Genomic DNA, 27911 nt, shown 5'->3' on the forward strand with positions numbered 1-27911 from the left:
TCTCCAAGGCCCCGCTCAAACACTACTTCCTCCAGGTTGCTTCCCTTCAATCCCCAGGGAAGCCACTAAGCAAAGTGTCTGAAACATACAGCAGGTCCAACATATGCTAATTTCCCTTTATCCCTTGGAAAATCCTTAGAAACTTATCAGTCTTTTTTTTCATGTGTTTTGCTTTTGACTTTGTATAAAAGTCATTTGTTGATACAAAAACCAGACGAAGACATTACAAGAATATAAAACTTTAGATCCATTTGAATAGACCCAAAAATCTTCAACAAAATACTAGCAAGCTGAACCCAACAACATATAAGAAGAGTTGTACACCATGACCAAGTGCGGTTTATCTCAGGAATGCATGACTGGTTCAACATATGAAAATAGATGGATGTAAGACACTAGATTAGTAAAAGAAAAGACAGGAAACACAAGATCATCTCAACAGATGCAGAAAAACATTTGACAAATCCAACAGCATTTCAAAATAAAAACATTCACTAAACTAAAAACGGAAAGGAACTTCCTCAATCTAATAAATGTTATCTATGAAAAACCAACAACTATAAAAAAAACCCCACAAATTTAAGTGTGAAAGACTAAAAGTTTTCCCCCATATAACTGGGACAAGACAAAGATATTCACTCTCACCACTTCTAGTCAACCTTGTGCTGGAAGGTCTACCTGGGAAATTAGGCAAGATAAAGAAATAAAATGCAAAAAGATTTTAAAAATAAAATCTTTAAAAGAAATAAAATTTTAAAAAGGAAAAGGAAGAAGATTGGAAAAAAAGGAGTAAAACTATCTCTATTAACAGATGACATGATCTAGCATATAGAATATCATTAGGAATCTACACACATACACACACAGAAAACCCACTGAAACCAATAAATGAAGTCAGTAAGTTTGCATTATATAAGATCAATGTCTAAAAATTAATTGTATTTCTATACACTGGCAATGAACGACACAAAAATAAAATTAATAAAACAATTCTCTTCACAATACACGTACACACACAAGTACAAGACTTGTGTACTTAAGACTATAAAAGTTGAAACAAATTAAAGACCTAAATAATCAGAAAGGCATCCCACGTTCATGGATTGGAAGACTTAATATTGTTATGATGGCAATACTCTCCAAATTGATACACAGATTCAACACAGTTCCTATCAAAATCCCAGCTACCGTTTTTGCAGATATTGACAGGTTGACCCTAAAATTCATACGGAAATACAGAGGACCCAGAATAGCCAAAACAACATTGAAAAATTAGGACTCACACTTCCTAATTTCAAAACTTAACTACAAAGCTACGGTAATCAATATGGTGTGATAATGGCATAAGGATAGACATATTGATCAATGGAATAGAATTGAGAGTCCAGAAATAAATCCACAAGTTTATGGTCAATTGTTTCCAACAAGCTTGGTAAAACAATTCAATTGATAAAAGAATAATCTTTAAAAAATTTTTTTGAGACAGGGTCTCACTCTGTCACTCAGGCTACAGTGCAGTGGCGAGATCTCGGCTCACTGCAACCTCCGCCTCCTGAGTTCAAGGGATCCTCATGCCTCAGCCACCTGAGTAGCTGGGATTACAGGCGTGCGCCACCATACCCAGTTAATTTTTGTATTTTTTGGTAGAGACAGGATTTCACCATGTTGGCCAGGCTGGTCTCAAACTCCTGAGCTCAAGTGATCTGCCTGCTTCAGCCTCCCAAAGGGATTATAGGCATGCTGGGATTCGAGGCATGAGCCGCTGCACCCAACCGGGTGAAAGAATAGTCTTTTCAGCAAATGGCACAGAGACAACTGGATAGCCACATACAAAGAATGAAGTCAGACCATAACCTCACACTGTCTACAACAATTAACTTAAAATGGATCAAAGACTTAAGTGTAAGAGCTAGAACTATAAATCTCTTAGAAGAAAACATAGATACTTTGATATGACACCAAAAAGACAATCAACCAAAGAAAAAAATAGATAAATCTGATTTCATAAAAATTTAAAACTCAACACTATCAAGAGAGTGAGGCCGGGCACGGTGGCTCACGCCTGTAATCCCAGCACTTTGGGAGGCCGAGGCAGGTGGATCACGAGGTCAGGAGATTAAGACCATCCTGGCTAACATAGTGAAATCTTGTCTCTACTAAAAATACAAAAAATTAGCCGGGCATTGTGGCGGGCGCCTGTAGTCCCAGCTAATCGGGAGGCTGAGGCAGGAGAATGGCAGGAACCTGGGAGGTGGAGCTTGCAGTGAGCTGAGATCGCACCACTGCACTCCACAGAGCCAGATGCCGTCTCAAAAAAAAAAAAAAAAAAAAAAAAAGAGTGAAAATACAACTCATAGAATGGGAGGAAAATAGTTGCAAATCATATATCTGACAAGGGACTAGTACCCAAATATTTTTTAAAAACACTTAAGATGTAAGAATAAAAAGACAAATGACTCAATTTAAAAATGGGCAAATAATTTAAATAGACATATCTCCAATGAAGATATAAATGGCCAATAAGCACATGAAAAATTCTCCACATCATTATTCCCTGGAGAAATGCAAATCAAGGCCGAGCGTGGTGGCTCACGCCTGTAATCCCAGTACTTTGGGAGGCCAAGGTGGGCAGGTCACCTGAGGTCAGGAGTTCGAGACCAGCCTGGCCAACATGGTGAAACCCCATCTCTCTAAAAATACAAAAATTAGCCGGGTGTGGTGGTGCACACCTATAATCCCAGCTACTCGGGAGGCTGAGGCAGGAGAATCGCTTGAACCTAGGAAGTGGAGGTTGCAGTGAGCCAACACTGCACCACTGCACTACTGCCTGGGCAACAGAGTGAGACTCCATCTCAAAACAAACAAACAAAAAGAAATACAAGTCAAAAACAACGTTGAGATACCACTCCACACCCACTGGGATGGCTATAATAAAAAAATGGGAAATAATAAGTGTTGGTGAGGAGGTCCTAGAGAAATCGGAACCCTCATTCCATGGTGATGGGAATATAAAATGGAGCAGCCAATTGTGGAAAACAGTTTGGTAGGTCCTCAAAAATTAAACACAGTGTTAACATTTGACCAAGTAATTCCACTCGTAGGTAGATATCCTAGATAATAGAAAATAGGGCCGGGCACGGTGGCTCATGCCTGTAATCCCAGCACTTTGGGAGGCCAAGGCAGGTGGATCACTTGAGGTCAGGAGTTCGAGACCAGCCTGCCCAATATGGTGAAACCCCATCTCTACTAAAAATACAAAAATTAGCCAGGTGTGGTGGTGCATGCCTGTAATCCCAGCTACTTGGGAGGCCGAGGCAGGAGAATCGCTTGAACCCGGGAGGCGGAGGTTGCAGTGAGCCGAGATCACGCCATTGCACTGCAGCCTAGGCAACAGAACGAGACTCCATCTCAAAGAAAAGAAAAGAAAAGAAAATAGATGTCTATATAAAAACATGTACACACATGTTCATAGTAGCATTATTCATCATATCCAAAAAGAGAAAAATGCCCATCAACTGATGACCAGATAAGGAAATCGTGGCATCCATACAATGGAATACTGTTCAGCTATAAATAGGAATGAAGTACCGGCCTGTTACAACACGGATGAATCCTGAAAACACGATGCTAAGCGAAAGAAGCCAGTCACAAAAGGCCACGTGTTCTATGATTTCATTTATATGAAATATCCAGAATAGGTAAATCCATAGAGACAGACAGCAGGTTAGTGGCTGCCAGGGCTGGGGAAGGAAGGGCTGGGCTGTGACTGCTAGAGTATGAGGTTTCTTTTTGGGGGGATGAAAATGTTCTGGAATCAGGTTGTGATTACACAGCTTCATGAATGTACTAACTGCCACTGCATTGTACACTTTAAAAGGGTGACTTTTATGCTATGTGAATAAAAGGTCACTATGCACCCGCTCTCTCCCGTCTGATTTATCTTGTACATCTCCCACCAAAGGGTCTTGTACAAAGCATGGCCTCAGAAAATATTTGTTCTGCAATAAAAAGTTCTGGGTGTCCCCCACCCTCTCAACCTGCAGACAACGAGACAAGGTTGCCACCTGTGTAGAGCTTCATTGTGGTGGGAAGTCAGGCAGCAAACGGTAAACGGGTCATGGGGTGCTCTAAGGGAATGAGCACAGGGTGGGAGGTGGAGGGGCTGGGCACGGCCACTCTAGAGAGGTGGACCTGGGGGTCCTCAGTGAAGCCTGCAGAAAGGTGAAGAGCTAGCAGAGAGCCCAGGGGAAATGCATGCCTGAAATAAGCTAAGCACATCAGAGAAAGCACCAGTCCTTGTACGAGTCCCAGTGCAAAAACAGCGCCACCCTGGAAACGGAGAGTCAGCCCGGTGCAAAAACAGCGCCACCCTCTGGAAACAGAGATGCAGTTTGCTCTTGCATTGTTGAGTTTTACGTTCCTCCCAGTGTGGGAATGGAAGTGATCTCATATTGTAAATAATTTTACATTAATATACACTCCCTGTATTTTTATTTTTTATTTTTTTTTGAGATGGAGTCTGTCTCCATTGCCCAGGCTGGAGTGCAGTGGCGCTATCTCGGCTCACTGCAACCTCCACCTCTCGGGTTCAAGGCATTCTCCTGCCTCAGCCTCCTGAGTAGCTGGGATTACAGGCGTGCACCACCAAGCCCGGCTAATTTGTGTATTTTTAGTAGAGATGGGGTTTCACCATGTTGGCCAGGCTGGTCTCAAACTCCTGGCCTCAGGTGATCCACCCACTTCGGCCTCCCAAAGTGCTGGCATTACAGGTGTGAGGCACCGCACCCGGCCCACACTCCCAGTATTTTTTAAGTTGCTTAACATTTGCAAGTGGTAAATAAATTCACGTTGTGGTTAAAAATTTTAAAAAGACTGAAGTGTGCAGAATCGGCATTGGAAGCCTGTCCCCCAGGTCATCCTGGTCTGGAAGCCCTGTCCCCCAGGTCATCCTGGTCAGCAGTTGAGTGACTCTTCTTCCAAAGTTCGTTCTGCAGGTTTACACACACTTGAAGGTATCTTCCCATGTTGCTGGTAGACACCATTTTGGAATAATGGCTCAGGGGCAATTAGAAAAGAAGAGTCTTTAACGTATTCTTCAACTTGACTCATAAAAGTAGAGTCAATCACTCTTCTCTACAACAGTCAACTTCTCTCAAGGAAGACCTGAGGAAGCTGGTGCCCGACCCACCAGGAGACATGGACCTCATAGGAGGTGAGCTGAGGATGTGGATAATTTGGACACCACTTGGACTGTGAGCTGCTGGGAGGTGTCAGACAGGAGCATCCCACGGGGTAGGGATGGGGGCTCTGGAAGGCTTCCTCTCGGAGCAGGTGGCATGGGGGCTGGCTGTGGGGGTCTTTGTGGGGAAGAAAGAGCCTGAGTGGGTGCAGGGACAAGGAAGGTCTGCGGAGGACAGGTCGGAGTGCTCTGAAAACGGCCCTGGCATTGATTTTTAAAAAGGGTCGCTCAAAAGAACTGAAAGCAGGGACTCGAACAGGTATGTGTACCCCGTGTTCACAGCAGCATCATTCATGATGGCCAGAGGCTGAAGCAGCCCAGTGTCCATCGATGGGTGAATGGAGAAAGAAAGTGTTGTCCCTGCATGCAATGGCAGGTTATTTAGCTATAAAAAGGAAGGAAATTCTTTTTTTTTCTTCCCCCTGAGAGGGAGTCTTGCTTTGTCACCCAGGCTGGAGTGCAGTGGCTCAATCTTGGCTCACTGCAACCTCCGCCTCCCGGATTCAAGCGATTCTCCTGCTTCAGCCTCCTGAGTAGCTGGGATCACAGGCGTGTACTACCACACCTGGCTAATTTTTGTATTTTTAGTAGAGACAGGGTTTCACCATGTTGGCCACGCTGGTCTCGAACTCCTGACCTCGTGGTCCACCCGCCTTGGCCTCCCAAAAAAAAAGTGCTGGGATTGCAGGTGTGAGCCACTGCGCCCTGCTAAAAAGGAAGGAGATTCTGACACAGGCTACAGCATGAATGACACCTGACGTTACGCTAAGTGAAAGACGCCAGACACAGAAGGTCAAACCCTGCATGATTCCACTCCTATCAGGTCCCCAGAGCAGTCAATCTCAGAGGCAGAAAGTAGAATAGAGGCTGCCAGGGGCTTGGGGGAGAGGAGATGGGGAGTTGTTTAACGGGAACAGAGTTTCGGTTGGGAAGATGAAAAAGTTCTGGAGGTGGAGAGTATGGTGATGGCTGCATAACAATGTGAATATACCCACTGCCACTCAACTGTGCACTTACAAATGATTAAGGCTGGGTGCGGTGGCTCACACCTGTAATTCTAGTACTTTGGAAGGCCGAGGCAGGAGTGGATCGCCTGAGCTTAGGAGTTCGGGACCAGCCTGGGTAACATGATGAAACCCCGTCTCTACTAAAATACAAAAAATTAGCCAGGCATGGTGGTGCCTACCTGTAATCCCAGCTGCTCAGGAGGCTGAAGCGGGAGAATCACTTGAACCTGGGAGGCAGAGGTTGCAGTGAGCCGAGATCGTCCTGCTACATTCCAGCCTGGGCAACAGAGCGAGACTTCGTCTCAAAACACAAAAATGGTAAATTTTATGTTATAGTGGTACCTCCTTATCCAAGGGGAATACAACCCAATACCCCCGTTGGTGCCTGAAACCTTGGATAGTGCCAAAACCTATAAATACTATGTTTTCCCTATACATACACACCTATGATAAAGTTTAATCTACAAATTAGGCACAGTAAGAGATGAACAACAATAATAATAAAATAGAAGTGGCTGGGCGCGGTGGCTCATGCCTGTAATCCCAGCACTTTGGGAGGCTGAGACGGGTAGGTCACTTGAGCCCAGGAGTTCAAAACCAGCCTGGGTAACACAGTTAGACCCCGTCTTTATAAAAAAAATTAAAACAAAGTCTGGGCGCAGTGGCTTACGCCTGTAATCCCAGCACTTTGGAAGGCCAAGGCGGGCGGATCACAAGGTCAGGAGATCAAGACCATCCTGTCTAACATGGTGAAACCCCGTTTCTACTAAAAATACAAAAAAAATAGCCAGGTGTGGCGGCGGGCGCCTGTAGTCCCAGCTACTCAGGAGGCTGAGGCAGAAGAATGGCATGAACCCCAGAGGCGGAGCTTGCAGTGAGCCAAGATCACGCCACTGCACTCCAGCCCAGGCGACAGAGCGAGACTCTGTCTCAAAAAAAAAAAAGAAAAAAAAATTACAACAAAAAATTATCCAGGCATGGTGGTGCATGCCATCATCCCAGCTACTTGGGAGGCTACAGTGAGCCATGATCACACTACTGCACTCCACCCTGGGCAACAGAGCAAGACCCTGTCTCAAACAAAAACAAAACCAAAACCCTCCCCCAAAACAATATACTGTAATAAAAGTTCATTCTTACCAGAGGTCGTAGCAACCTCAGCACAGAATTCTGTTCTTTCCTTATTCAGTTGAGAACTTCCGCCTTCTCGCTAAAAGGAAGCGCTTTATGGCTTCTCTTTGGCATATCCAAATTGTCAGCATCACTGCTCTGGTGCTGTGGGGCCATTATTCAGTCAAATAAAGGTGACTTGAACACAAGCACTGAGATCCTAGGGCAGCCGATCTGATCACCCAGACAGCTGGCGGGATGGAGGGGGAGGGTAGGAGACTTCATTACTCTACCAGAATGGCATGCAATTTAAAGCTCATGAATTGTTTATTTCTGGAATTTTCCATTTAATTTTTTTTTTCTCTTTTTTGAGACGGAGTCTCATCTGTTGCCCAGGCTGGAGTGCAGTGGTGCAATCTCGGTTCACTGCAACTTCCGCCTCCCGGGTTCAAGCGATTCTCCTGCCTCAGCCTCCCAAGTAGCTGGGATTACAGACATACACCACCACGCCTGGCTAATTTTTGTATTTTTAGAGAGACAGGGTTTCCCCATGCTGCCCAGGCTGGTCTCGAACTCCTGACCTCAGGTGATCCACCTGCCTTGGCCTCCCCAAGTGCTGGAATTACAGGTGTGAGCCACTGTGCCCAGCCCCATTTAATACTTTTGGATTATGGTTGGCCGAGGGTAACTGAAACTGCAAAAAGCAAAGCTGCAGTGAGGGGGGACTATATGTATTTTATTGCAACTAAAAACCAAAAAACAGGTGAACCATAGAGTTTCTTGGCTTCCTCCACCCTAAAGCACATTCCCTTATCTTCCCTGGCTCTCCCAGGCTCTTCTCAGGCGTGGCACCCACACAGTAGGGCTAGCTAACCCTGGGGACCCAGCAAAGGCTGCACCAACTCACAGGTGGGGCTGGTAGGAGGCTGGGTTCACGCTCAGGTTTATCTTATGATGCTGAGGAGTTTGTGGAATAGGTTCAAAAACGTTGAAAGAGGGAGAAGCCTGGGCGCCTTGCTTTCAGAGTGACTTTGTGGCTACCTCCCTGTCCGATTCCTGATTTGGCCTCGGTTTTTGCCTTTGACCTGGGGTTGGGGCCACCCCCGCAGCCACTGCGCCCTCTATAGGTAAGAAGGCCCAAGGAAGAAGCCCTCTGCTCCGTCACCTCCTCGCCATGCCGTCCCCACTGCCAGTGGGCGCAACGTTACTTGCAAGGCCACAAACACCCGGAACAATCCGCCAGGCCGCGTCACTCCTCACCCTCCAGCAGGGCTTTGGATTTTTGGACAGCGAGTTCTGTTTCATTTTGTTTTGTTTTTCCCTTTGCATTTGGTGAACTCCGTGTCAGGAAAGCTAGTCTTTGGGATTCAAGGAAGAACAAAACAAACCCGATCTCCTGTAATCTACCTGGATTGGAACGCCCAGCTTTGTACAGCCTGAGCTCTGGCCGACTGGAATTTCTGCCAGGTCCTATTCACACCCTTGGCCCCAGCTGGCTGTGAGGTTTCCTGGGAACCCTTGCCTCCTACATGGCCTACTTAAAAGGCTGCTGAGAGCCAGCCAGGTGTTCTTTAAGCCCCTGTGAAGATTCCTTGATCAGTTACACAAAAAGCTTGCTCAAAAGAATGGGACCGGGAGCAACCGCAATGCCCTCTGGAGACCCAGCTCCTGATTTCAAAGGATCAACGAGTGACAGAGGGTTGGGGACTGGGGGGGTCGTGCATGAAGACAGCCACCGCCCACAACAGGTCCACCCTGAAGTGAAAAGACAAATATCATTTTTCCTCCAGTTTGCAACCAACTGTGCACAGCTTCGGGACCCCCAGCCAGCCCAAACCTGTCGCTGGCTGCCCACTAACGCTCCCAGCAGCCCTTAGTACAATACAAATTCAGGCAATGCCTGCGTCTGCCCACACCTGCAGAGCATGAGCCCCACTTTGGAATGACGGGGTCTGTGCAGAGACCGGGCAGAGCTCTGGGCTTCAGGATGGCAGCAGCAGCTCCGGCAGGCGGCTCTCCAGGCCACGAGATGGGCACAGACCTTCCTGCACCCTCACAGCTTCTGCGGCTCCCCAGGCAACGGAGCCAGTCAGGGCATGGGGACGCCAGGCAGCAGTGTCAGACTTGGCCATTGCCAAGTTCTCTCTTGTCCCCGCCAGGCAGAACAGGTGCACATCCAGGTCAACCTGTGACCTCGGCCTTACTAACCCTTGTCTAGGCAAACCTGGGAGCGAGATGGAATCAAATAAGAACCAACCTATACTGGGCAGTGATTACTCTAAAAGCTTATGCAAGAGCCCTGCTCCTCTGTTGGTACCCTACATGTCGATGCCGAGACTGAGGCTCAGAGAGGTCTGGTCATTGCTCACACCGGCCCCTGCACTGTCCCAGGCTGTCTCTCTTGCAGCAAGGGAAAATGGCTCTTTAGCCTCTGTTATGTTTTAACCATAAGGCATTTTCTCACGCAGGGCTTTCCAATGTTGGCCCACAGACAAGAAGCCCACTGGACATTTGGGAAGAGGAGTTTTAGAGAGAAGAGGATGGAGGAAGGCTAGAGTCACGGTATTGTGTGTGCACGTGTGTGTGTTTACACGCCTGAAACGAATGACTGCGTCGGTCACATGTGCGGTGTGCCCACATCCTTCCCAACAAAGATGAGCTCAAAAGCGTGAGGGAAACACACCGTGCAAAGACCAGCTTAGGGGATTCTGGTGAATGTCCAGAGATCCAAACAGCAAGACCCCCGCCGCTCCTGACTCAGCAGGGATGCTGGATGCAAACTGGCCCTGATACACTGGGCCCTGGGGTCTTCTCCACGTCATTATCCTGGAGGGTTTAAGTCCCCCGAGGCAGGAGCCAAAGGGAACAGCAAGCTTGAGATTTTTCTGAAGCCTCTTCCGTTGACAGTGCCTTTCCATTCATCTGAAACAAACTCTGAAGGACTCCTCTCTATGGAATCGGTCCCCAGAGGTGGAGGCTGCTGCTCCATCCCAGCCCCTCTCATCCCATCCTCTCCTGCTTCACGCAGCCCAGGTGAGGCCTGCCCTGCAGAAGGCTACAGGGAACACGGGATGGGGCAGTTTCTACCTGCCTGCTGAGCTGCTCTGGTGACTTAAAACAAAAGTGTCAGGAGCCTCTGGCAGGAGGAAGGGAGGAATAAAATCCAGCATTCAACCCAAGCATCTCTGTTGCCCATGAATTCATCCTTTTCAGTGATCCGTCCACCAGAATATCCTACTTTGCCTGGGTCATTTCACGCCTTCCCCAACGAGGCGAACCCCAGCCCAACGTCCAAAGCTTTCCTGAAGCCCCACTGCCTCCACCACCCTCAGTAAGCGAAGAGAAGGGAAGATGCATGGAGCCCCGCCCCATCCCAGAGACGGCCCGGTGCACAGGGACGTGCAGGTCACACAGATTACAAGGCTGAGGAGGGGATGGGATGGGAAGGGGTCCGTGTGGAGCAGCAGCCTCCACCTCCGGGTCTCTGACTCCAACGAGGCAGAGACCACCTTCCCTGACGCCTCATCCCTCCACCTGGCCCCTTCCCAGCATCTGCAACCCACTGGTGTGTCTTGGTCCCCCAGGCAAGGGTGATGTCTCAGCCATCTCTGCAACCCTTGCCCCACAGGGCCTGGCACGCAGCAGGATGGGGGTGACGGAGGAGAGAGAGCTCTCCGCACCTTCCTTCCCCCACCTGTGAGACGGCGATGAGTTGGCTGGACGCTACGATCTCTAGGAACCCCATTAGGCTCTAAAATCCTGGCAGTTTCTAAAATGCACAGTAAGCTAACTGTTCCCAGCAAAACTGAAGCACGTCTGGCATAATTAGCATCACACACACATGTGCACACGGCGGTACTGGACTCATCCAGCCGAGAGGCTGGACTCTGCCAGCTTCCCGCTGACCACAGAGGCAGCCAGACCCAGCTCTGGAGTCTGCTCGCAGAGCCCAGCCGGCTGTGCACGGGAGGGCGATTGATGCGGCTGCCAGTTCGAAGAGGCAGAGCAATAAAGCCTCGGCGACTGCGGTGCCTTCTGCTGCCGGGGTGGGACCCCTAAGCTTTTCAGAGGCCTGGATGCTGAGGGGGGCCCACGGGAAGCTGGCTCTATTAGGCTCAAGCTGCCATTTCTGACATAAGTGGCAATGTTAAGTGATGGGCGCACAGCCGGCCGGATTCTGCCATCCCAGGCCTAGAACCTGCCCCATGGTCACGGTCGAGCTCGGGAGCGCCGACATCCCGCATGCACCGAGACAGCCTGGCTTTTCCAGCCAGAGGGACTGGGAGCAGCAAGGCCGGAAAATACAGGGCCAAGCGGGGCGGGGATGAATCGCAGCTCCTCGCGGCATGGGCGGCACACTCCCAGAGCCAGAGCTGCTGGGAACTGGGAAGGCAGGGTCTCCGCTCCGGCGATTAACTCTGCCGATCTGCAACATCACGGCTAATTAGGGAAGGTGTAAATCACTGGGAGGAAGCGGGCAGGCACATCCTTCAGGTTGATTACCAGCACGGTTTAGGAAAAGATAACCAGGCCCGGCCTTTCTTCTGTTCCTTTGCCAGCCGTGGGGGCGGGGTGGGGGCCGTGGCGGGCGGGCAACAATCCGCGGCAGGTAGGAGGAGAGAATGTACCAGGCCTTTGAGTGCTGTTTCTGTTTTAATTTTTTCTTAGTCATATGGAGTGACCTTGTGGATTTCCCAGGGAAATTAAGAAAAATTCCACTGAACAGATCTCACAGCTGTTACGAGTTTCTGAGCTTCCGTGGGTCCCGTGCATTTACGACTGTGACGACTTAGACTCAGGACGTGCACGTGATGCCGTACTGGGCTTTTTCCATTCAGCGTGATTACACGGTGTTATTCATTAAGGGCTGGAGACTCTGATGGCAGGAATCATTTGTTTTTCTTTTTCCCTTAAGGCATTTGCAAATATGCTTGGAGGCAAAGGGACGCTGGGTACATCTAATAAATAAAGCAAAATAATTAATAGCTCAAGCAGTCTAGAGACCACTCCCAGTTGCTCCTGAACCAGGCTTTTGAGAGCCAATCGTTCTGTTTTCATTCCCTCTCGACTTCGTCCTTGAAATACACATTACTGGGAAGAAAACAGCCAAGAGATTTTTCTGAACCCAAAAAGAATGTTTATTTTTTTTCCCCTAGATTTTATAGGAGCTTAACGTGGGCAAACCAATGAGATGATTCTAAACCAAAGCGCCCTCGTGGGCTCCACGCTCTCAGCCTGTCCATCAGCAGCACACCTGGGAGATTCTGCCCAACCTAGGGAAAGGAGGAGCCATAGGAGCTGGGCAGGGAAGGCCAGAGCACACACGCTCCGGGGACGCACACCCACGCCTAGAGCACACACGCTCCGGGGATGCACACCCACGCCCAGAGCACACGCGCTCCGGGGACGCACACCCACGCCCAGAGCACACACGCTCCAGGGATGCACACCCACGCCCTGGACCCCAGCAGAGGGATCAAGGGCTCAGGCATCCCCAGTGCCGCCAATCACGTGGCCCTCTCGAGGTGAAGCTGCGACACTGTGTGGAAACCCAGGGGAGATGGGAGAGGCCTGAAGCGGGAGGCGGGAGGACCGCATAGCTGCAAATGCATCTGGGCGTGAAGACGTCCCTGTGTCATCTCTGCAGGACCAAACAGTCAATTAGTATCCAAATACTTTTAGGGGACAGAAAGACGCTCACGGTTCCTGTCGCAGGTCCAGGTTATTCGGTGCCATAAAAAGGCACACGTCGACCTTCACTGTTTCCTGCAAACACAGCTGGGACATCAGCCCGGAAAGGAATGTAACCTGTCAGGCCGCAAATCCCACGGTTCTCACTAGGAGCAGGAAAGGACCCTGGTCTCCCTTCACATCCACCAAAAGCTCACCCTGACTAGAGAACCAAGCAGAGACTGAGGCCAGAGAATAACCAAGTAGCAAGGAGGGGAGGGGTCTTCACAGACAGAGGCCTTGCTATGGGTGGGCTCTGGCTTCCAGGTGGTGGGCTCTGCGGGCCAGAGCTTGGGGCGCAGGAGGCCAAGGTCCAGGTCCCAGACACATCCATTATGGCCAAACACAAGAAGCCCTCAGGCCTGCCCAACACGGCTGTGGGCACCGGTGCCTCCCCAGACCCTCTGGGCAGCCCATCCTTGCACCTGGAGGAGCAGCTCACCGTGCCGTGGAGGGTGGCCGCGAGGTTCATCTGGGCCTCCGAGCCTCCCAGCGCATCCCACTGCTCTGCAGAAACAGAATAATCACCACCCAGGCTGGTGGCTTCCCAACTTTTCCGTGACGTTCCCCTAGGCAATTTAAAAATGGAGTGAATACTGATAATAATTTGACTAAATTTAGGTGTTCCCCTTAGGCATCTGATTAAATTTCATGAACTCTTTTTCAGGCTTGCAGCCCAAATTCCCCTTCTCTCTTGGCTTCACGGCACGGGCTTCTTGACCACCATGTAGGGTCAGCAAATTCCGCCTAACAAGCCGGAGCTTTCCTTCCTTCCCGGAGGAACAAGACACTAAGAAGAGGTTCCCAGGGGAACATGCAGTGGGAGTCTGGGCCGCTACGTTGTGGGGTGGTGTAACCAGGGTTTGTCCAGAAAAAGACACAGAACCCGCAGGCCCTGGAGGACCCTGAAGATCACCAGGCCCAGTCTGTTCCTCTCCCTAACCAGGACACTGTGGTGCAGACAGTGTAGGGACTGGCGAAGAGACACAGTGGGTGGCAGGAACGGGGAACAGAAAGCCAGAACCTTCTAGATTCTGAGCTGCTGGGCTTTGTGACATCCCACATGGCTTGGTCCCGCCTTTCAGCCCCCCAGGGTTCACTCGAACCGCCTCCGCGCACCCCAACAGCAGAGACGTAACGTGCAGGACTGACTGGTGCTTCCCAAAAATCTTCTCGGACTCAGTGGCACACCTGGGACTGCCCGAATCTGTGCCCTGGTCCCCGTTACTGTTCCTGCAGGCTGGAAGGGGAGCCTGTGAGTTGAGCCAGAGCTGACCGGGAGCTGCTGGGACCATGGCTAGGGGTTGTGACGTGACCTGGGCCCCGGGAGGCCCTGAGGGAACTGGTGGGTACTCTCCAGCACCCCAACCCCAAAGGGCAAACAGTCATGATACCAATCACCAACATCCTTTGATAAGACCTTGGCTACTCATTTATATTCATTTAAATTCCATCCACACACTTGTCACAGCAAAGCTGAATTCTGTATCTAGCCCCTCGTGGCAGCAGTGACGGAAGGACAGAACTTGTTTAGGCATCGTTTCCTCGCTCCCTCCTTAATCTCCACTCGGCTTTTCCCATCCCCTGGGCCTAGTTTCAGGGGAGCCAGCATCTTCCGCACCAATGCACTGCTTGGCCCGGCTCAGAGGATTTGACGCAAACCAGGACTGGGGCCCTGGCCGACAGAAAATTCTTAGAGCAAAATGGCTGTTCACCAGCGGCGGGTATGTTCTTAGACCCTCCATCTGCCCGGGCCCTGCTGGGAGAAGGCCTCGGGCCTCCACCTCCAGCAATCCTCTAATACCTCCTCAGAGCTTTCCGGAGAGAAGGGAGGAAGCCAGGGAAGCTCTGGGTGCCCCCGACAAGTTTAACCCCTTCCTTCTTTGGCACACACTTCACAAAAGAAGACACCAGGTGAACAAGCACGCAGAGACATATTCAAGATCGTCGGTGATAAAGAAATGCGCATGAACATGATTTTTAAGCCATCCTACCAGCAACACTTCGTTTTCCAAAGCGGGGAGGCCAAACCTCCAAAGCTGGGAGGGCTACAGTCAAAGAAGCACCTCCCACACCGGAGGCAAGGGACGCGCCACCCTCGGAGCGGCTCCCTCGGCTCTTCTGTAATCTCAGCAAGAACGTGCTCACTGCACATAACGCTGAACCTGCCACGGGCACGAAGCAGACCCACATCCGTCCCTGCAGCAGCAGCCTCGGCCCAACCTCAATCCCACTCCTCCAAGGGCGCGCCAGGGAACAGCAGGACGCGGCCCTCCGGGGCTTCCCTGTGCGCACACACACACGCACACACACACACATGCACATGTATTAAAGCAAAAGTGAGATTGTGCTGTCAACATTGTGTTACGCCTGGAATTTTTCAGTTACTATATCCAGGGCCTTAGCCCTGTCGGTATGCAGGGATAAGCTGCACCTCTTTTTGAGGGCCGCTTCCACGTTTTCTCTAAACATTCCTTATAGACAAAGACTTGGGTTGTTTCCATTGTCGTTTTTCTTTGTGTGGTTTTTTTTTCTTTTTTTTTTTTTGAGACCGAGTCTCACTCTATCACCCAGGCTGGAGTGCAGTGACACGATCTCGGCTCACCACAACCTCTGCCTCCCAGATTCAAGCAATTCTCCTGCCTCAGCCTCCTGAGTAGCTGGAATTACATGCGCCCGCCATCAAGCCCAGCTAATTTTGTATTTTTGGTAGAGACGGGGTTTCACCATGTTGGCCAGGCTGGTCTTGAACTCCTGACCTCGTGATCCACCCACCTCAGCCTCCCAAAGTAGGGGGATTACAGGCCTGAGCCACTGTGCCCAGCTTCATTTTTCTGTAAAGTCAATAATATCACATTGAACTTTTGTGTGTTCACGTCTGCACACAATACACCGAACCTGTGTGTGCACGTGTGTACAGGTACCGTGCATCTCTTTAAACATTCCCTGAGGCTTGGCGTGGTGGTGGCTCAGGCCTGTAATCCCAGCACTTTGGGAGGCTGAGGCAGGTGGATCACCTGAGGTCAGGACTTTGAGACCAGCCTGGCCAACATGGGGAAACTCCGCATCTACTAAAAAAAAAAATACAAAAATTAGCCGGGTGTAACGGCCGGTGCCTGTAATCCCAGCTACTCGGGAGGCTGAGACAGGAGAATGACTTGAACCCAGGGGGCGGAGATTGCAGTGAGCCGAGATCACGTCACTGCACTCCAGCCTGGGCGACAGAGCAAGACTCTGTCTCAAAACAAAACAAAAAAATTCCCTGTAGGCAAGAATTGGGATGTTACTCATTCCACTTTTTTGTAAAATAAATAATATGACATTGAACTTCTTTGTGCATGCATATGTGTGTACACGTAAATACTGAACCTGCGTCATCCACGTTTGTGCGGAATCCCTGTGTGTGTGCACACGCATCCACCCCGAGCCTCTGTGTGCAGAGCTCCAAGCACAGACGTGTTCATCAAGGACAAGCGGGAAGCCGGGAACAGCTCCATGTCCATGGAAGGGGCATGGGCAAGTGAAATGCTACGTCCCTCACCAACAGGCCGCTGTGCAGGCGTGAAACCCAGTGGCGGTTCAGAAGACGTGGCAGCGCGGGAGGGGTTTATGGCAGGGCATGAATTGAGAATGGCAAGACAGACCATGTAATCTCAGGGACTCTCAGCTGGCCCCACCCCAGGAAATGCAGTCGGTGTGTCTTAGGAGGTTGAGTGCACATTGCAGGGCCCAGGGGCCCCTCGGAGGGGCTCCTGTCCCTCTGCACCAAAGGTGTGCACAGAAGCTGTCAAGGTGACATCATTCACAGAGAAAAACCCAAACTAAACCACATGGTCATCAACAGGAGTGTGGACAACCTGGGGAACAGCCATGGAGACAGTGTCCCCCTATTGGAGTGAGCACCCGCAGCACCTCAGGCACGGGGAGCTGAGCCACCGACGGCTACAAAGACGGGGACGCTTTCCTAGGGCTCAAAGCAAGGCAGAATGTTGAGAAGTGCACATGTGTGCAAAGCCTGCTTTAGGAGAGCAAGGAAGTGCCGCCCACGGCATTCCGGAAGGTGGTTCCTTCTGGAGACCGGGGCACGGAACGACCAGACTGGGGAGGAAGGAGTGGAGCACTGGCCTCCTAGGAAGCTCTAGTTCAGACACAGGGGGCGCTGGGTCACGGGGTTCATTTATGATTGTGTTTCATGGTTTACATGCTACAAATATTCTTTGGCATGTATCAAATATGACAAAATTTAAAAAAAATTTAAATTTATTTAGAGACAGGGTCATGCTCTGTCACCCATGCTGGAGTGCAGGGGTATGATCTCGGCTTACTGCAGCCTTGATCTCCCAGGCTTAAGGGATCCTCCCTCCTCAGCCTCCCTGAGTAGCTGGGACTACAGGCAGGCACCACAGCACCTGACTATTTATTTTGTATTTTTTACAGAGATGGCGGGGTGGGGGGGCGGGGGTCTCATTTGTTGCCCAGGCTGACCTTGAACTCCCAGACTCAAGCCCATCCTCTTGCCTCAGCCTCCCAAGTAGCTGGGACCACAGGCATCTGCCAGCACGCCCAGCCAATTTTTCAATACTTTTTTGTAAAGATGGGATCTCACAATGTTGCCCAGGCCTGAAGTGATGCTCCCACCTCAGTCTCCCAAAGCACTGGGATTACAGGTGTGAACCACTGTGCCTGGCCTAAAATCAAAAAAAATTTTAAACCAAGAAAGTGAATTTTATATACAGCCTGCCTGTCTACAACTCTGTAAAATAACTTAGGCATCGGAAGCAAAAATAAAAAATAAAAGTAAACACAAGGCTGAAGGAAATACACCAAAAAGTTAACGGTGGTGAGCTGGGTATGGTGGGGCTTCACACCCTTCTTTTGTCTTTTCCCTATCTCCCAGAATTTCCTTAGGAGCAGGTGCTACTTTTATAATTAAAAAGAAAGAAAGAGAGAGAGAGAAAGAAAGAAAAAGAAAGAAAGAGAAAGAAAAGAGGGAGGGAGGGAGTGAAGGAAGGAAGGAAGGAAGGAAGGAAGGAAGGAAGGAAAGGAGACAAACAAAAGCCCTCCAAAACATGGAAAACAGTAAAGGCAAAAAAAAAAAAAACAGTTAAAAAGAGCAAAAACCACCCTCCCCAAAACAAAAATAGCCCCAAGCAATCCCTCCATAGGATCAACAGGGAACTAAGACAAGCAGGTGAAAAGACCACACTGAAGTCAGACCTCAGATCATAACAGAAACAAAAAGCAGGTCCTAAGGCCTCCCTCTGGCTCCCCCCCACCCACCCCACCATCCTCCAGCTTCGGACACAGCCCTGCGATGGAGCTGGGGCTATGTTTTGGGGGCTGCGTTTTGGTGGTGACACAGCATTTCCCAGGGCTGCTGTAATGAAGGACCACAGACCAGAAGCTTGAAAACAACAGAAATGTATTGTCTGGCAGTTCTGGAGGTCAAAGTCAAGGTGCTAGTCGGGCCGCGCCCCCTCTGAAGGCTCCAGGCAAGAGTCTTTCCTGCCTCTTCCAGCTGGAGGTGCTCGTCCTGGATCCTGGAAGCCCCCAAGCCTGCAGCAGCATCACTCCCATCTCTGCCTCCATCTCCCTGCCCCTCCTGTGTCTGTGTGTCCGTCCGTGTCTTTTAAAGACATCCGTTGGATTTAGGGCCACCCTAATCCAGGAAGACCTCAACTGGATCCTTCCCTTGATCCCATCAGCAAAGACCCTATTTCCAAATAAAGTCACATTCTGAGGTTCTGAGTGGCCATGAATTTGCGGGGAAGGGAGTCACTATCCAGGCCACGGCAGACACAGTTCCCCGAAACTGAAGACGTGTTTACTCACTTTTTTTGGACAGGGAAGCTCGGCTGTGGGTGCGAAGCAGGACTGCCCCCCAAGGCCAGGCAGGTCCTCGAGGAGCATCTCCCAGTCCAGTCTCAGCGGGCACTGGCCTGGCACTCACGCTCGGGGTGGGGGGCATCCCAGGCCCTGAGACTGGTGCTGGGTCCAAGGGTCCCCATCCGGTGGCAGCCATTCCGCATTGATCTCCATTTGCTTTTCAAACATGCAATTCTCATAAACTGTGCTAAATGCCATTTAGTAGCTAATTAACTTTCTGTGTGAAGACCTCTCTAATTGCGCACACTCCCCCCTCGGCTGGGTCCTCGGGGATGCCCAGCTGTCCTAGAGTATTTGTTCTGCTGGCTCCCACCTCGCAGCCACAACTTCAATGCCCACAACAAACTGCCAATCAAGGCTGTGGAGGTCAAAGGGGACCAAATCAGGGGCCCTCTGCTACTACCAAACTCTCCCGGCAAAGCTTAATTTAAATAAGAAAGCAGAAAGGTTATGAAAAACCATTTTTCCCAACGAAACTCTTCTGCCAGGCGGCATAAGGGGCGCGGCCCTCCGCTCTTCAGAACGGCTGGTGTCTGCTTTGAAAGGTCCTGACTAGAATCTGTTTATATTTTGACTGCACTGGCATCTGCCATCCCTCAAACGGAGAGATAATCAGGAAATAAAAGCTTTTGATTAGCAGCTGCATGAATCACTGCAGTGCCAATTTCCTCGTGGTCCCAAAGTGCGGGAGGGAGGGCAGGAGGCGGCAAGCATGGGTGCTGGGTCCACCTCACCCACTTGGGGCAAAGCCATCTCTCACTTTATTCACTGGTCTTGGACTTGGGGCCCCAGGTCTATATCCCAAGGCCACGTTCGCTTCATAAACGCAAGGTGATCTCTGAGCACCTCTTAGACAGAAGTCTGGGCAGACGCAAATGTGCAGCGTTTCAAAGCAAAGCTCAAGAGTGGATTCCTCAGTGCAGTATCGTCAGCGTTGCAGTGGTGGGTAAGAGGCCCCGGGATTATTTTTGGAGGGCCCCTCCCTGCAGAGCAACCACGTGAGGACTCCCTACCCCAGGACCTTCCACCAGAAAAGGCCAAAGAGAGACCACACGTGCCGCCCCCTGCCGAAGCCTGGCCTTTGAAGGATGAACGGCAAGGGGTATGTCTGCCCTGACAGAGTGACCAGTACCCGCAGCACCCGAGTTCTTTGCCTCTTATTAAAGGGCAGAGCCACCATGGTGGGTGAACGGGCTTCCTCTCGGAAACCAACATCCTGGTTGGGTTTTCCCTTCCAAGGAAGGCTCTACACACCCGGCCCTCCTCAGAGCCTCAGCCCGCAGCGGGAGATGACACCTCCGATCAGGTCCACGGGAAGATGGGGGTGAACGAGAAGCCTGAGGCCGGGCCGGTGGGAGGGCGTGATGCATGGGAGGAGCTGGACTGCGGTCAGCCGTCCCCTCGCGCCCTCCGGTCTCTGCTGCTGTGTTTACTTGGCTCCCTTCCCGGGATGGCCTTGTAGCAAATCCATCTGGGATATGTTTTGTTTCCACAGAGGGACCCTGAATTTTGAGGTGGGGCCACAGAACCTCCCTTGAGAGCCAGAAGAGATCAGGGCCAGGATGGGTCACGGGCTGTGCCCAGTGTCGCTGCCCAAGGCAGAACTGGCTGCCCACCAGGGGCAGGAGACTGGATGGTCTTTCCAGGCCCTCATCCCAAACTCAAGCACTGGAGAAAATTGTTCCAGAGCGTCTCGGTCTGGGTGGGAGCGGGGAATAAGCATTTCTTTAAGGAATTTTTTTTTTACTTTTTTTTCAGACTGGGTCTTGCTCTGTCACCCAGGCTGGAGTGCTGTGGTGACATCACAGCTCACTGCAACCTCCGCTTCCACCTCTTGGGCTCAAGCGATCCTCCCACTTCAGCCTCCCGAGTAGCTGGGACCACAGGTGCACGCCATCACGCCCAGCTAAATTTTTTATTTTTTATAGAGATGGGGTCTCGCTATGTTGTCCAGGCTGATCTTGAACTCCTGGGCTCAAGCGCTCCTCCTGCCTCGGCCTCCCAAAGTGCTAGGATTACAGGCATGAGTCATCATGCCTGACCTATTTTTAAACCAGAATAAGCAGGTACAGAAGTTTGCCTGGTGACCAGGAGTCATGACTCTTTCCGAATGAAGGTGGGGATGGGGGTAGGGAATGTCCCCATGAAGGTAGCCCCTGGCTGGGCATTTTCCACTCCCAGCCACAGCCTCCCTCTGCGGGCAGAACCCTGGGTGCTGCAGGGAGCTGGTTCTCAGGGAAAAGGGAATTAAGTCAGTACTGGGAGATTTGGGTTCCACAGAGTTTAGGGGCTCCTACAAACAGCGGCTTACGGGCTGGTGAGGAATTTCCCATCCTGAAGCTTTTAAAGCAGACAAACACATGAGTGCTGGGTGGGGGCGGGGTGCTGGGAGATGCAGAGGCTCAGAAAAACCCTCCGAGGCTCTCGGATTTTACGCCTGCATGAGATTTCGAGGGAAGAATCCTAAATGTGGGGAAATGAGGTTGCCCAGCAATTCTGAATGTGGTTTAAAAAAAAAATTAGGTGGGGGAGAATGAGACGATATTCAATATTTCCTTCTGATTCAAACGAAATACTTCTAAGTTCTTCTCTGTGAAAGCGTGTGTGTGTTTAGAAGGGAGAGGGGGATGATAGCACGTCCTGCCAGAAGCCGTTTTATTTACTAGTTTGGATGCTTCCCCTGACGCCTACCTGGGAGGTGCTTGCCTGGCCACCAGCCAGGGCCGTGGCTCCTCGGCAAGTGGGCGTCCGCCGAGCCTTTGATGCACTCTCCAAAGTCACAGAGCAAAACAACACGCTGAACAAACACCACCACCCTGAAAAGTCACCAGCCCATGGGCCTCTCCCTGGCTCCAGCTGTGGCTGATTTACCCAAACTGAAACATTTTCCTTTTGTCGACTGTAGAGAGCTATGAGTCAGGTCCAAGCTCCACTGGGCGTATGCCCAAGGGGCAGAGGGGGCAGCAACCGGACGGAAGCTGCCCAATCATAAGACCATGGCTGAAAGTCAAACGCGCCCAGAGTCCACAGTCGACCACCTCCCGCTCGGCAAGCCAGGGTCCTGGTGAACGCACGTGCCTGCGTTCTGTACCAAACAGTTGTCAACACACACCAGCAACTTAACAAATCAACTCCAACAAAGGGGAAAAAATTAACATTAAGGGCAAAAAGACTTTTTCTGGAGGGTCCTATGCACCAGATGTTGGCTCTTTAATTGGCAGTCAACCTCAAAGCAAAACTTAGAAGGCCCCTGCTTGTTTTATCAGTTAGAGCCACAGAAAATCAAAGTCCAATCCCGCTAAGCATGGTGCTGTGTAGCCCGGCCAGCCCCGTGGAAGTCCTCAGCCTGGTCCCGTCTTCTGGGCTCTGCTGGGCTGGACGGTGCCACCCTCCCCAACCCGCACCTGCCCGCCGGCCCCAGGCCCTCCCTCAGGACCCAGCACCTTCAGTCCTCCTGCCGAGAAGAAGCCTTTCATCAGTAAAAGAGAAAACGGCTTCTCCAAAGGAAGTTTCTTAACTTGAAAAAACACCATGATTAGGGAAACTCCTCCATCGTCCAAGATACAAACACAAACTCCCAAACACCTGTCAATCCTTCTCAGGGCTCCACATGGCCCAAAGGACACCCCAAATGTGGAGGACCACTCAAGACCCTCAAATGCAGCACCGTGTGCCCCCTGAACAGGGATCCCCACATTCGATGAAAACAAAATTGGCCAGCGCAGGAACTTTTGCCCATGACTTAAGCACAGCAAAGTCCCCAAAGCCAGAATCCCTCCCAGGACCTGCCCGACGGGTTTTATCACTGGACGCATCAAAGCCCCTCTCACTGGTGGTTGGTTCAGCAGAGCCCTGGGCCTCGGGCCTGCCCTGCTCTGACAGCTCCCACACTGTGGCCTTGATCGGGCCCTTTTCCACTCTGTGCCTGCTTTGAGTAACAGGCTCCCACAAAAACACTGTGCTGGGGTATTTCCAGGATGAAAAGCCACGGTTCGCTTTGCCTGCCATGGACAGAGTCATAAATACGAGTTGTCGTTGCCTCTTCCCAACAGTCTGGCATGGCAAACTGGCCTTGTGGAGTTCGGAATTGTTCTAGATACTGCTCATGTATTCTCCAGCAGCTCTAGCTGGTTCTGCCCAGATACCTGGCAATGCCAAAGGCCGAGAGGCCAAGACACTACAACCTTTGTTCAAATACACGAACATCCTCAAATACACGAATGTCCTCTCTGCACAAGCAGAGCAGCCTCAGCATCGGCCCTCGCAAGTCCCACCAGAGAACGGTATTGAAAAGATGACTGGGGTCAAGGGGTGCGGAGAGGGACCCACTGTACCCTCATGGCCACTCTAGCGCCAGCCCTTCTGTAATGACCCCCTCTGGATTCCCAAAAGTCAGCCGAGGGGTCCCCACCCTCCTGGGGTGGCTGGGGTGTTGCTGCCCACCCCCAGGGGCAGGCCTGTGTGCAGCATCCATGCCCAGAAACCTGCGCTCAGATTTCCCAGTTCCCAGAAGACAACAGGGAGAGTCTATTTTTCTAAGCTCACTAGGTAAAGTGTTACTTCCTGATCTAATCTTGCCAGGCTCTGGAAGCTTCCGTCAAGGTTTTCCCACACTCCATGTCAGGTCTCTGACATGAACCAGCTTTCAGAGTCTAACGACTAGATTTGACTTTCAGCTGCTCGGACGGAGGCTTCAACTCAGCCTGAACTAGCCGCGTGGACAGCAGCCGTAGCCCTCACAAGGCGTGTGCGGTGACGGGTCTCGGGCGCCCAGCCAGCGAGGGGCCGGCTCCAGGTGGTGGGAGCCCACGCCCCCGGCCAGCACTCTGGCCACAGCGCAGCACCTGCCCCATGAGAGCCTCCTGTTGCAGCCCGGGCAGAGGTGAGCCTGGGCAGCCACCTCCCACGTGATTTCCCAATGCTTGAAGTTCACGACCAATTGCTGGGGTGGGGACAACCTACACAGGCTTACAGACCTAATCCAAGAAGGCAGTTCTCAAAAGGATGGGAAAACGTGCACCAGTCTCACAGTCCCAGTCACCTTAAAAGGTCTTAACTGATTTTTCCTTCTCTCTGTTTATTGTGGTAAAATGTCCATAACATAAAATTCACCACCTTAACCGTTTTCAACGTCGAGCCCAGTGGCATTATACCATTCCTATTTTTGTGCAACCATGACACCACCCATCTCCAGAACTCTCCTTCTTCCCAAACTGAAGCTTTGTCTCCATGAAACACCAGCTCCCCAACGTCCCCTCCCTCAGCCCCTGGCACCCCAATCTTTCCCTCTCTGAGCCTGACAACTCCAGGGGTCGCACACAAGTGGAATCACACAGATTTGGCCCCTTATGTCTGGCTCATTTCACTCGGCGTAACGTCCTCAACTCATCCGTGTTGCGGCGCGTGTCAGAATTGCCTTCCCAAGGCTGAACGTTCCGCTGGGTGTGTGTGGAACATGTGTGTGAACACACCGCGTTTCTCTAGTCACCCGTCGGGGGAACTTGGACGCTTTCACCATGGGCTACTGTGGACGGTGCTGCTATGGGCAGGGGTGGTCATGTATCTGAGCTCCTTCTCTTTATTTCTGACACTTCTATATAACCATGAATCATCTATGAAATAATTTTGACAAGCAAGAGGTTCACAAAGTAAATTCCAGACAAAGCCACCCTGGAGACCCAGCTGGGCTGTCCCGGGGGCGGTCCCTGCGTCCACGCCGGGAGAGCAGGAATGACACAAAGCAGGCTGCATCTGGCTGTGTCAGGCCTCCCACCCATCCCATCAGCCAGGCATCTCTGCTTTGGGGCCAGAGGTCAAACGTGTCTGGGTTCCGTGTAGTCTCAGGGGAGGCTGAGGCTGACGCGAGGTGGGGTGGGGTGAGGTTGTGCTGGAGGCTCTCCACCTCTCCACCCACCAGACACCCAGAGAAGAGGCGGAAAGTCAGCAGGGAAGGCAGAAGGCTGCTAAGAGTGGACAGGATGCAGGAGTGGCGTCTGGCTGACCCTGACCAGGGGGACCTGGCCCAAGTGAGTGTGCACCCCAGCCCGGCCCTCAGAACTGCTTGCAGGCACTTGCGAGTTAATATCCACGTGATTTAGGATTCACCAAAATCTGCTTGGAAGGAGGCAGGGAGGCAAGAGGGAGGTCAGGTGGGGAGGCGCGCAGGCAGTGCTGCCCTCCAGCCACAGGCAGGTGGGGGTGGGGCGGGGCGGGGCGGGGAGGGGGAGGGCGGGGGCGTGCACCGCAGGCAGCGGCCAGCCCTGGGCTGATCTAGGGGAAGCCTGCCATCTGCTGGGCACCGGGATCCCTCCCGGAGCAGGAGTGCCACCTCCACGCAGATGGAGTTTGCAAGGGGCGGTGCCGCCATCTTCACAGAGGCTCCGGGCAGCTGGCGGGGGTGGGGGGATGGTTGGGGGGGCCGTGTTGGCCAAGCCCAATTCTGGGGTGGGAGAAAACGAGCAACACTCTGCAAAGGGCCGGGGGCCTGGTGGCCCCCCCATCCTCGCCGGACCTCAATGTCCTGCGTACAAGCCTGTCCCGGCCGTGGCCACCGGCTGGCTTGTGTGCTCCGCCTGCCGGGAAGCGCTTTCCCCCTCGTGGACCCTACAAAGACGCCTCTCTGCAGGCTCCCCTCATGCTGCGGGCACACAATGCGTCCTTTCACCCGGGGTGGGTCTGGCGGAGGCGGCCCCTCCCCGGGGTGCCCCCCGCTGGGCCCCTGACCCCACACTCCGCTGCTGTTCTTGGCCTGCGTAGACCCGTCCCTTTCAACCGCTGTCAGGAAACTGTGTGGACGAGGAATCCCTGCTGGTCGCGCCCGAGACCATCTCTCTGCGTCTCCTAGAAGGGGAAACCGTGACCCACATCAAACTGTGGCCGTTGGAAAGGTGAACACACGGAGCCTGGGGCCGGTGGGGCCAGGGGGTGGGGTATCCTTGCACCCGATGTCACTTGACACCCGTCCCGGCAGCCCGCCAGGCTCGGAGAGAGACCGTAGCTACCAAAAATAATCCTCCCAGTGTTTAAATATTTACAGAAGCAAGACAGATCCTGATGCCTTTACAATCTACTGGAGTCTGCCCTAACCGCCAGTCCGAGGCTCCCAGGAGAGGCCACAGCGACCACCCACCCGGTTTTCGGGGTCCCAGGTCGCCTCTCCTCTCCCTGTCCCTGCCTGATATATATCGCAGGGCTCCTCCTCCGGTGACCACATATCTGCCACTAGCCCTCTCCCTCCTTCCAGAACATTCCCACTTCCAACTCTGCTCTCACATCACCCCAGCCCCAGCACCTACCTTGAGACAGCTCTTTCTGCTCCAGAGCCCCTCGGGGAAAGCCTGCTTTCTCTGCAGAGCCTGCACCTCATTTTGGGAACCAGTGAACAAAATGTAACAAGAGGCATTTGTCCATGTAACCCCATTGTCCATGTAACCCCTGGGGCTGGTCTCGACCCCACTCCCCTCCTGGGGACACAAGGGTGAGACGGTACAGTACCAGGCCAACACCAGTCCCAGCGGATGGCACAGAGATGGGCACTGCTCTCAGGGCCTGTCCAGATGCTACTTCTCATGACAGTCTATGGGGTGGGGAGCACTAGCGCCAGCCCCATTGTGCAGAGGGGAAACTGAGGCAATGAGGGTAATAACCCACCAGCACACAGCCAGGCAGAGCTGGGATGTGGCCAAGGACTTGGCTCCAGGCTCCCACACTTAAAGATCATCTCTGTCACCACCTGGGGGTAATAAGGTCAGGGATATGCCCCAGGCCGCCTGCTTCCACCAGCCAGTCCCTTTCAAAGGGCGGAGGTTTCCAGAAGTGTGGCTGAGTGTCTGTCTGTTCTTGATGGTCAGGGAACCTTACTTTCAGGTCCCCAAAGCAGATTCCCTGAGGCCAGGAGGCACTTAGGTGGACGGGCACCAGGAGCCCTGTGTCCTCTGCCTTGCAGGTGTTTAGGGAACATTGTTCAGACTGGAAGGAAGAGCCACGTGAAAATGCCCTTTCTGTTTACTCTGCTGGGAAGGATATGAAGCCAAACAGAACCAGCTACGGGAGTCTTTCGACCGCAAGACAAAAGGTCCTTTGCCCCCACTACCTGCAACTTTCAGGGAAGATTTCATCAGGTGCTGGGTTACATTGCAACAGCCAGGCGTGGTTCCCCAGAGGTACGGTGTGAGCTCCCCAACTCACCGGGAGACAGGCGCTGCCACATCACTGCCTCTGGGAGCCCGTGACCTCATGCTCAGAGCTCTCAGAAGCTCACGTGGCCTGTGAGGCCCCTGCCAGGGCTGTTGATGCAAGAGCTGGGGCTCGGGAGCCTCCCAAGGGCAGCTCTGTGTATTCAGAGCAGCTCAGCCCCTCGAGAGCACCAGGAGCCCCCAGCCCCCATGCAACCACCGGCCGGGGTTGCGTCAAGGCCTCCCGGAGCAGCTGTCAATGGTTTCTGAGCTGCGGTGGAAAAGGCTGACAAGTTTCATTTCCCTGACCTTGGACAGCCCTCCTGATGCAGGGAGCGCCCATCCCTGGGGAGCACTGCCTCTCCAGGAGCCTGAACTTCCTTCTTTTTGGTTCAGGAGGTTTGAGGCACTTATTTCCTCCCTGTCCTGACAGTTTTACTAGAAAGGTCAGCTTTTTAAAGAGCTGTCAGTCCTTCGGAAGACAGTCAATAACAGCATGGTTTAAGACGGCCCACCAGATGCACTGGCTCCGCCCCCATCTCTTTAGAATCCAGCTCCCTTGGGGGACATACCTGGCTGGTGACTTCTAGAATCCCAGCTCAGGGCCGGGGGGGTGCCAGGGCTGTGAACCCCCGACAAGAGGCAATGAAACCCCCTCCTCCTAGAGGCTGCCCAACCATCAAGGACAAAGGAAGAGGGAGTCCATGAAGAAGGGCTGGCCAGAGAATATTTTGTTTTGTTTTGTTTTGTTTATTTTTTTATTGA

At 52.0% G+C, this 27911-nt stretch overlaps 1 protein-coding gene and 1 long non-coding RNA gene across 28 annotated transcripts in view, besides 8 other annotated features; both read right to left on the reverse strand.

Annotated features, from left to right (window-relative positions):
- Positions 1-27911, reverse strand: part of TBC1D16 (TBC1 domain family member 16) — a 103530-nt gene that overhangs the window by 34189 nt on the left and 41430 nt on the right. For 2 of the 27 annotated variants that reach the window (XM_047435358.1, XM_017024187.2), the window contains exons 1-2: positions 27065-27185; positions 26268-26333 (exon numbers count right to left, since the gene is read on the reverse strand). The exons of 15 other annotated variants lie outside the window; for them this stretch is intronic. Coding sequence is in view for 10 of the 12 variants with exons in the window: in XM_017024187.2 (XP_016879676.1) it covers positions 26268-26333; positions 27065-27089 (91 nt within the window). In the remaining 2 variants the exon portion in view is untranslated. Of the gene's footprint in view, positions 1-26267; positions 27881-27911 lie in introns of those variants that run through there. 10 more of the 27 variants (XM_047435357.1, XM_047435353.1, XM_047435359.1 and 7 more) reach the window with 8 other exon arrangements.
- Positions 7980-8884: an enhancer, noted in NCBI's record as "H3K4me1 hESC enhancer chr17:77948310-77949214 (GRCh37/hg19 assembly coordinates)". NCBI's record gives its function as "activates a minimal SCP1, AML or CMV promoter by ChIP-STARR-seq in naive H9 embryonic stem cells {active_cell/tissue: H9 hESC(naive)}" and the evidence as "EXISTENCE:reporter gene assay evidence [ECO:0000049][PMID:30033119]".
- Positions 8399-8448: a silencer, noted in NCBI's record as "silent region_9096". NCBI's record gives its function as "represses an Ori minimal core promoter by ATAC-STARR-seq in GM12878 lymphoblastoid cells {active_cell/tissue: GM12878}" and the evidence as "EXISTENCE:reporter gene assay evidence [ECO:0000049][PMID:35858748]".
- Positions 11664-11843: a silencer, noted in NCBI's record as "fragment chr17:77951994-77952173 (GRCh37/hg19 assembly coordinates)". NCBI's record gives its function as "represses an EF-1alpha promoter that drives an FKBP-Casp9 reporter gene in an ReSE screen in HepG2 liver carcinoma cells {active_cell/tissue: HepG2}" and the evidence as "EXISTENCE:reporter gene assay evidence [ECO:0000049][PMID:32094911]".
- On the reverse strand, positions 12471-15636 carry LOC124904073 (uncharacterized). Its single transcript, XR_007065930.1, has 2 exons — positions 13529-15636; positions 12471-12997 (listed from the first exon to the last, which is right to left on the reverse strand). It is a non-coding gene; the product is annotated as an uncharacterized LOC124904073 (long non-coding RNA).
- Positions 21316-22187: an enhancer, noted in NCBI's record as "H3K4me1 hESC enhancer chr17:77961646-77962517 (GRCh37/hg19 assembly coordinates)". NCBI's record gives its function as "activates a minimal SCP1, AML or CMV promoter by ChIP-STARR-seq in naive H9 embryonic stem cells {active_cell/tissue: H9 hESC(naive)}" and the evidence as "EXISTENCE:reporter gene assay evidence [ECO:0000049][PMID:30033119]".
- Positions 25142-25201: a silencer, noted in NCBI's record as "silent region_9097". NCBI's record gives its function as "represses an Ori minimal core promoter by ATAC-STARR-seq in GM12878 lymphoblastoid cells {active_cell/tissue: GM12878}" and the evidence as "EXISTENCE:reporter gene assay evidence [ECO:0000049][PMID:35858748]".
- Positions 26366-27565: an enhancer, noted in NCBI's record as "BRD4-independent group 4 enhancer chr17:77966696-77967895 (GRCh37/hg19 assembly coordinates)". NCBI's record gives its function as "activates an origin of replication core promoter dependent on BRD2, P300/CBP, MED14 and CDK7 cofactors, and independent of BRD4, by STARR-seq in HCT116 cells {active_cell/tissue: HCT116}" and the evidence as "EXISTENCE:reporter gene assay evidence [ECO:0000049][PMID:35650434]".
- Positions 26545-27416: an enhancer, noted in NCBI's record as "H3K27ac-H3K4me1 hESC enhancer chr17:77966875-77967746 (GRCh37/hg19 assembly coordinates)". NCBI's record gives its function as "activates a minimal SCP1, AML or CMV promoter by ChIP-STARR-seq in primed H9 embryonic stem cells {active_cell/tissue: H9 hESC(primed)}" and the evidence as "EXISTENCE:reporter gene assay evidence [ECO:0000049][PMID:30033119]".
- Positions 27100-27292: a silencer, noted in NCBI's record as "fragment chr17:77967430-77967622 (GRCh37/hg19 assembly coordinates)". NCBI's record gives its function as "represses an EF-1alpha promoter that drives an FKBP-Casp9 reporter gene in an ReSE screen in phorbol 12-myristate 13-acetate-treated (for megakaryocytic differentiation) K562 erythroleukemia cells {active_cell/tissue: K562(+PMA)}" and the evidence as "EXISTENCE:reporter gene assay evidence [ECO:0000049][PMID:32094911]".

This window comes from Homo sapiens, chromosome 17 (assembly GCF_000001405.40).
Source record: "Homo sapiens chromosome 17, GRCh38.p14 Primary Assembly".
Classification (NCBI taxonomy): Eukaryota; Metazoa; Chordata; class Mammalia; order Primates; family Hominidae; genus Homo; species Homo sapiens.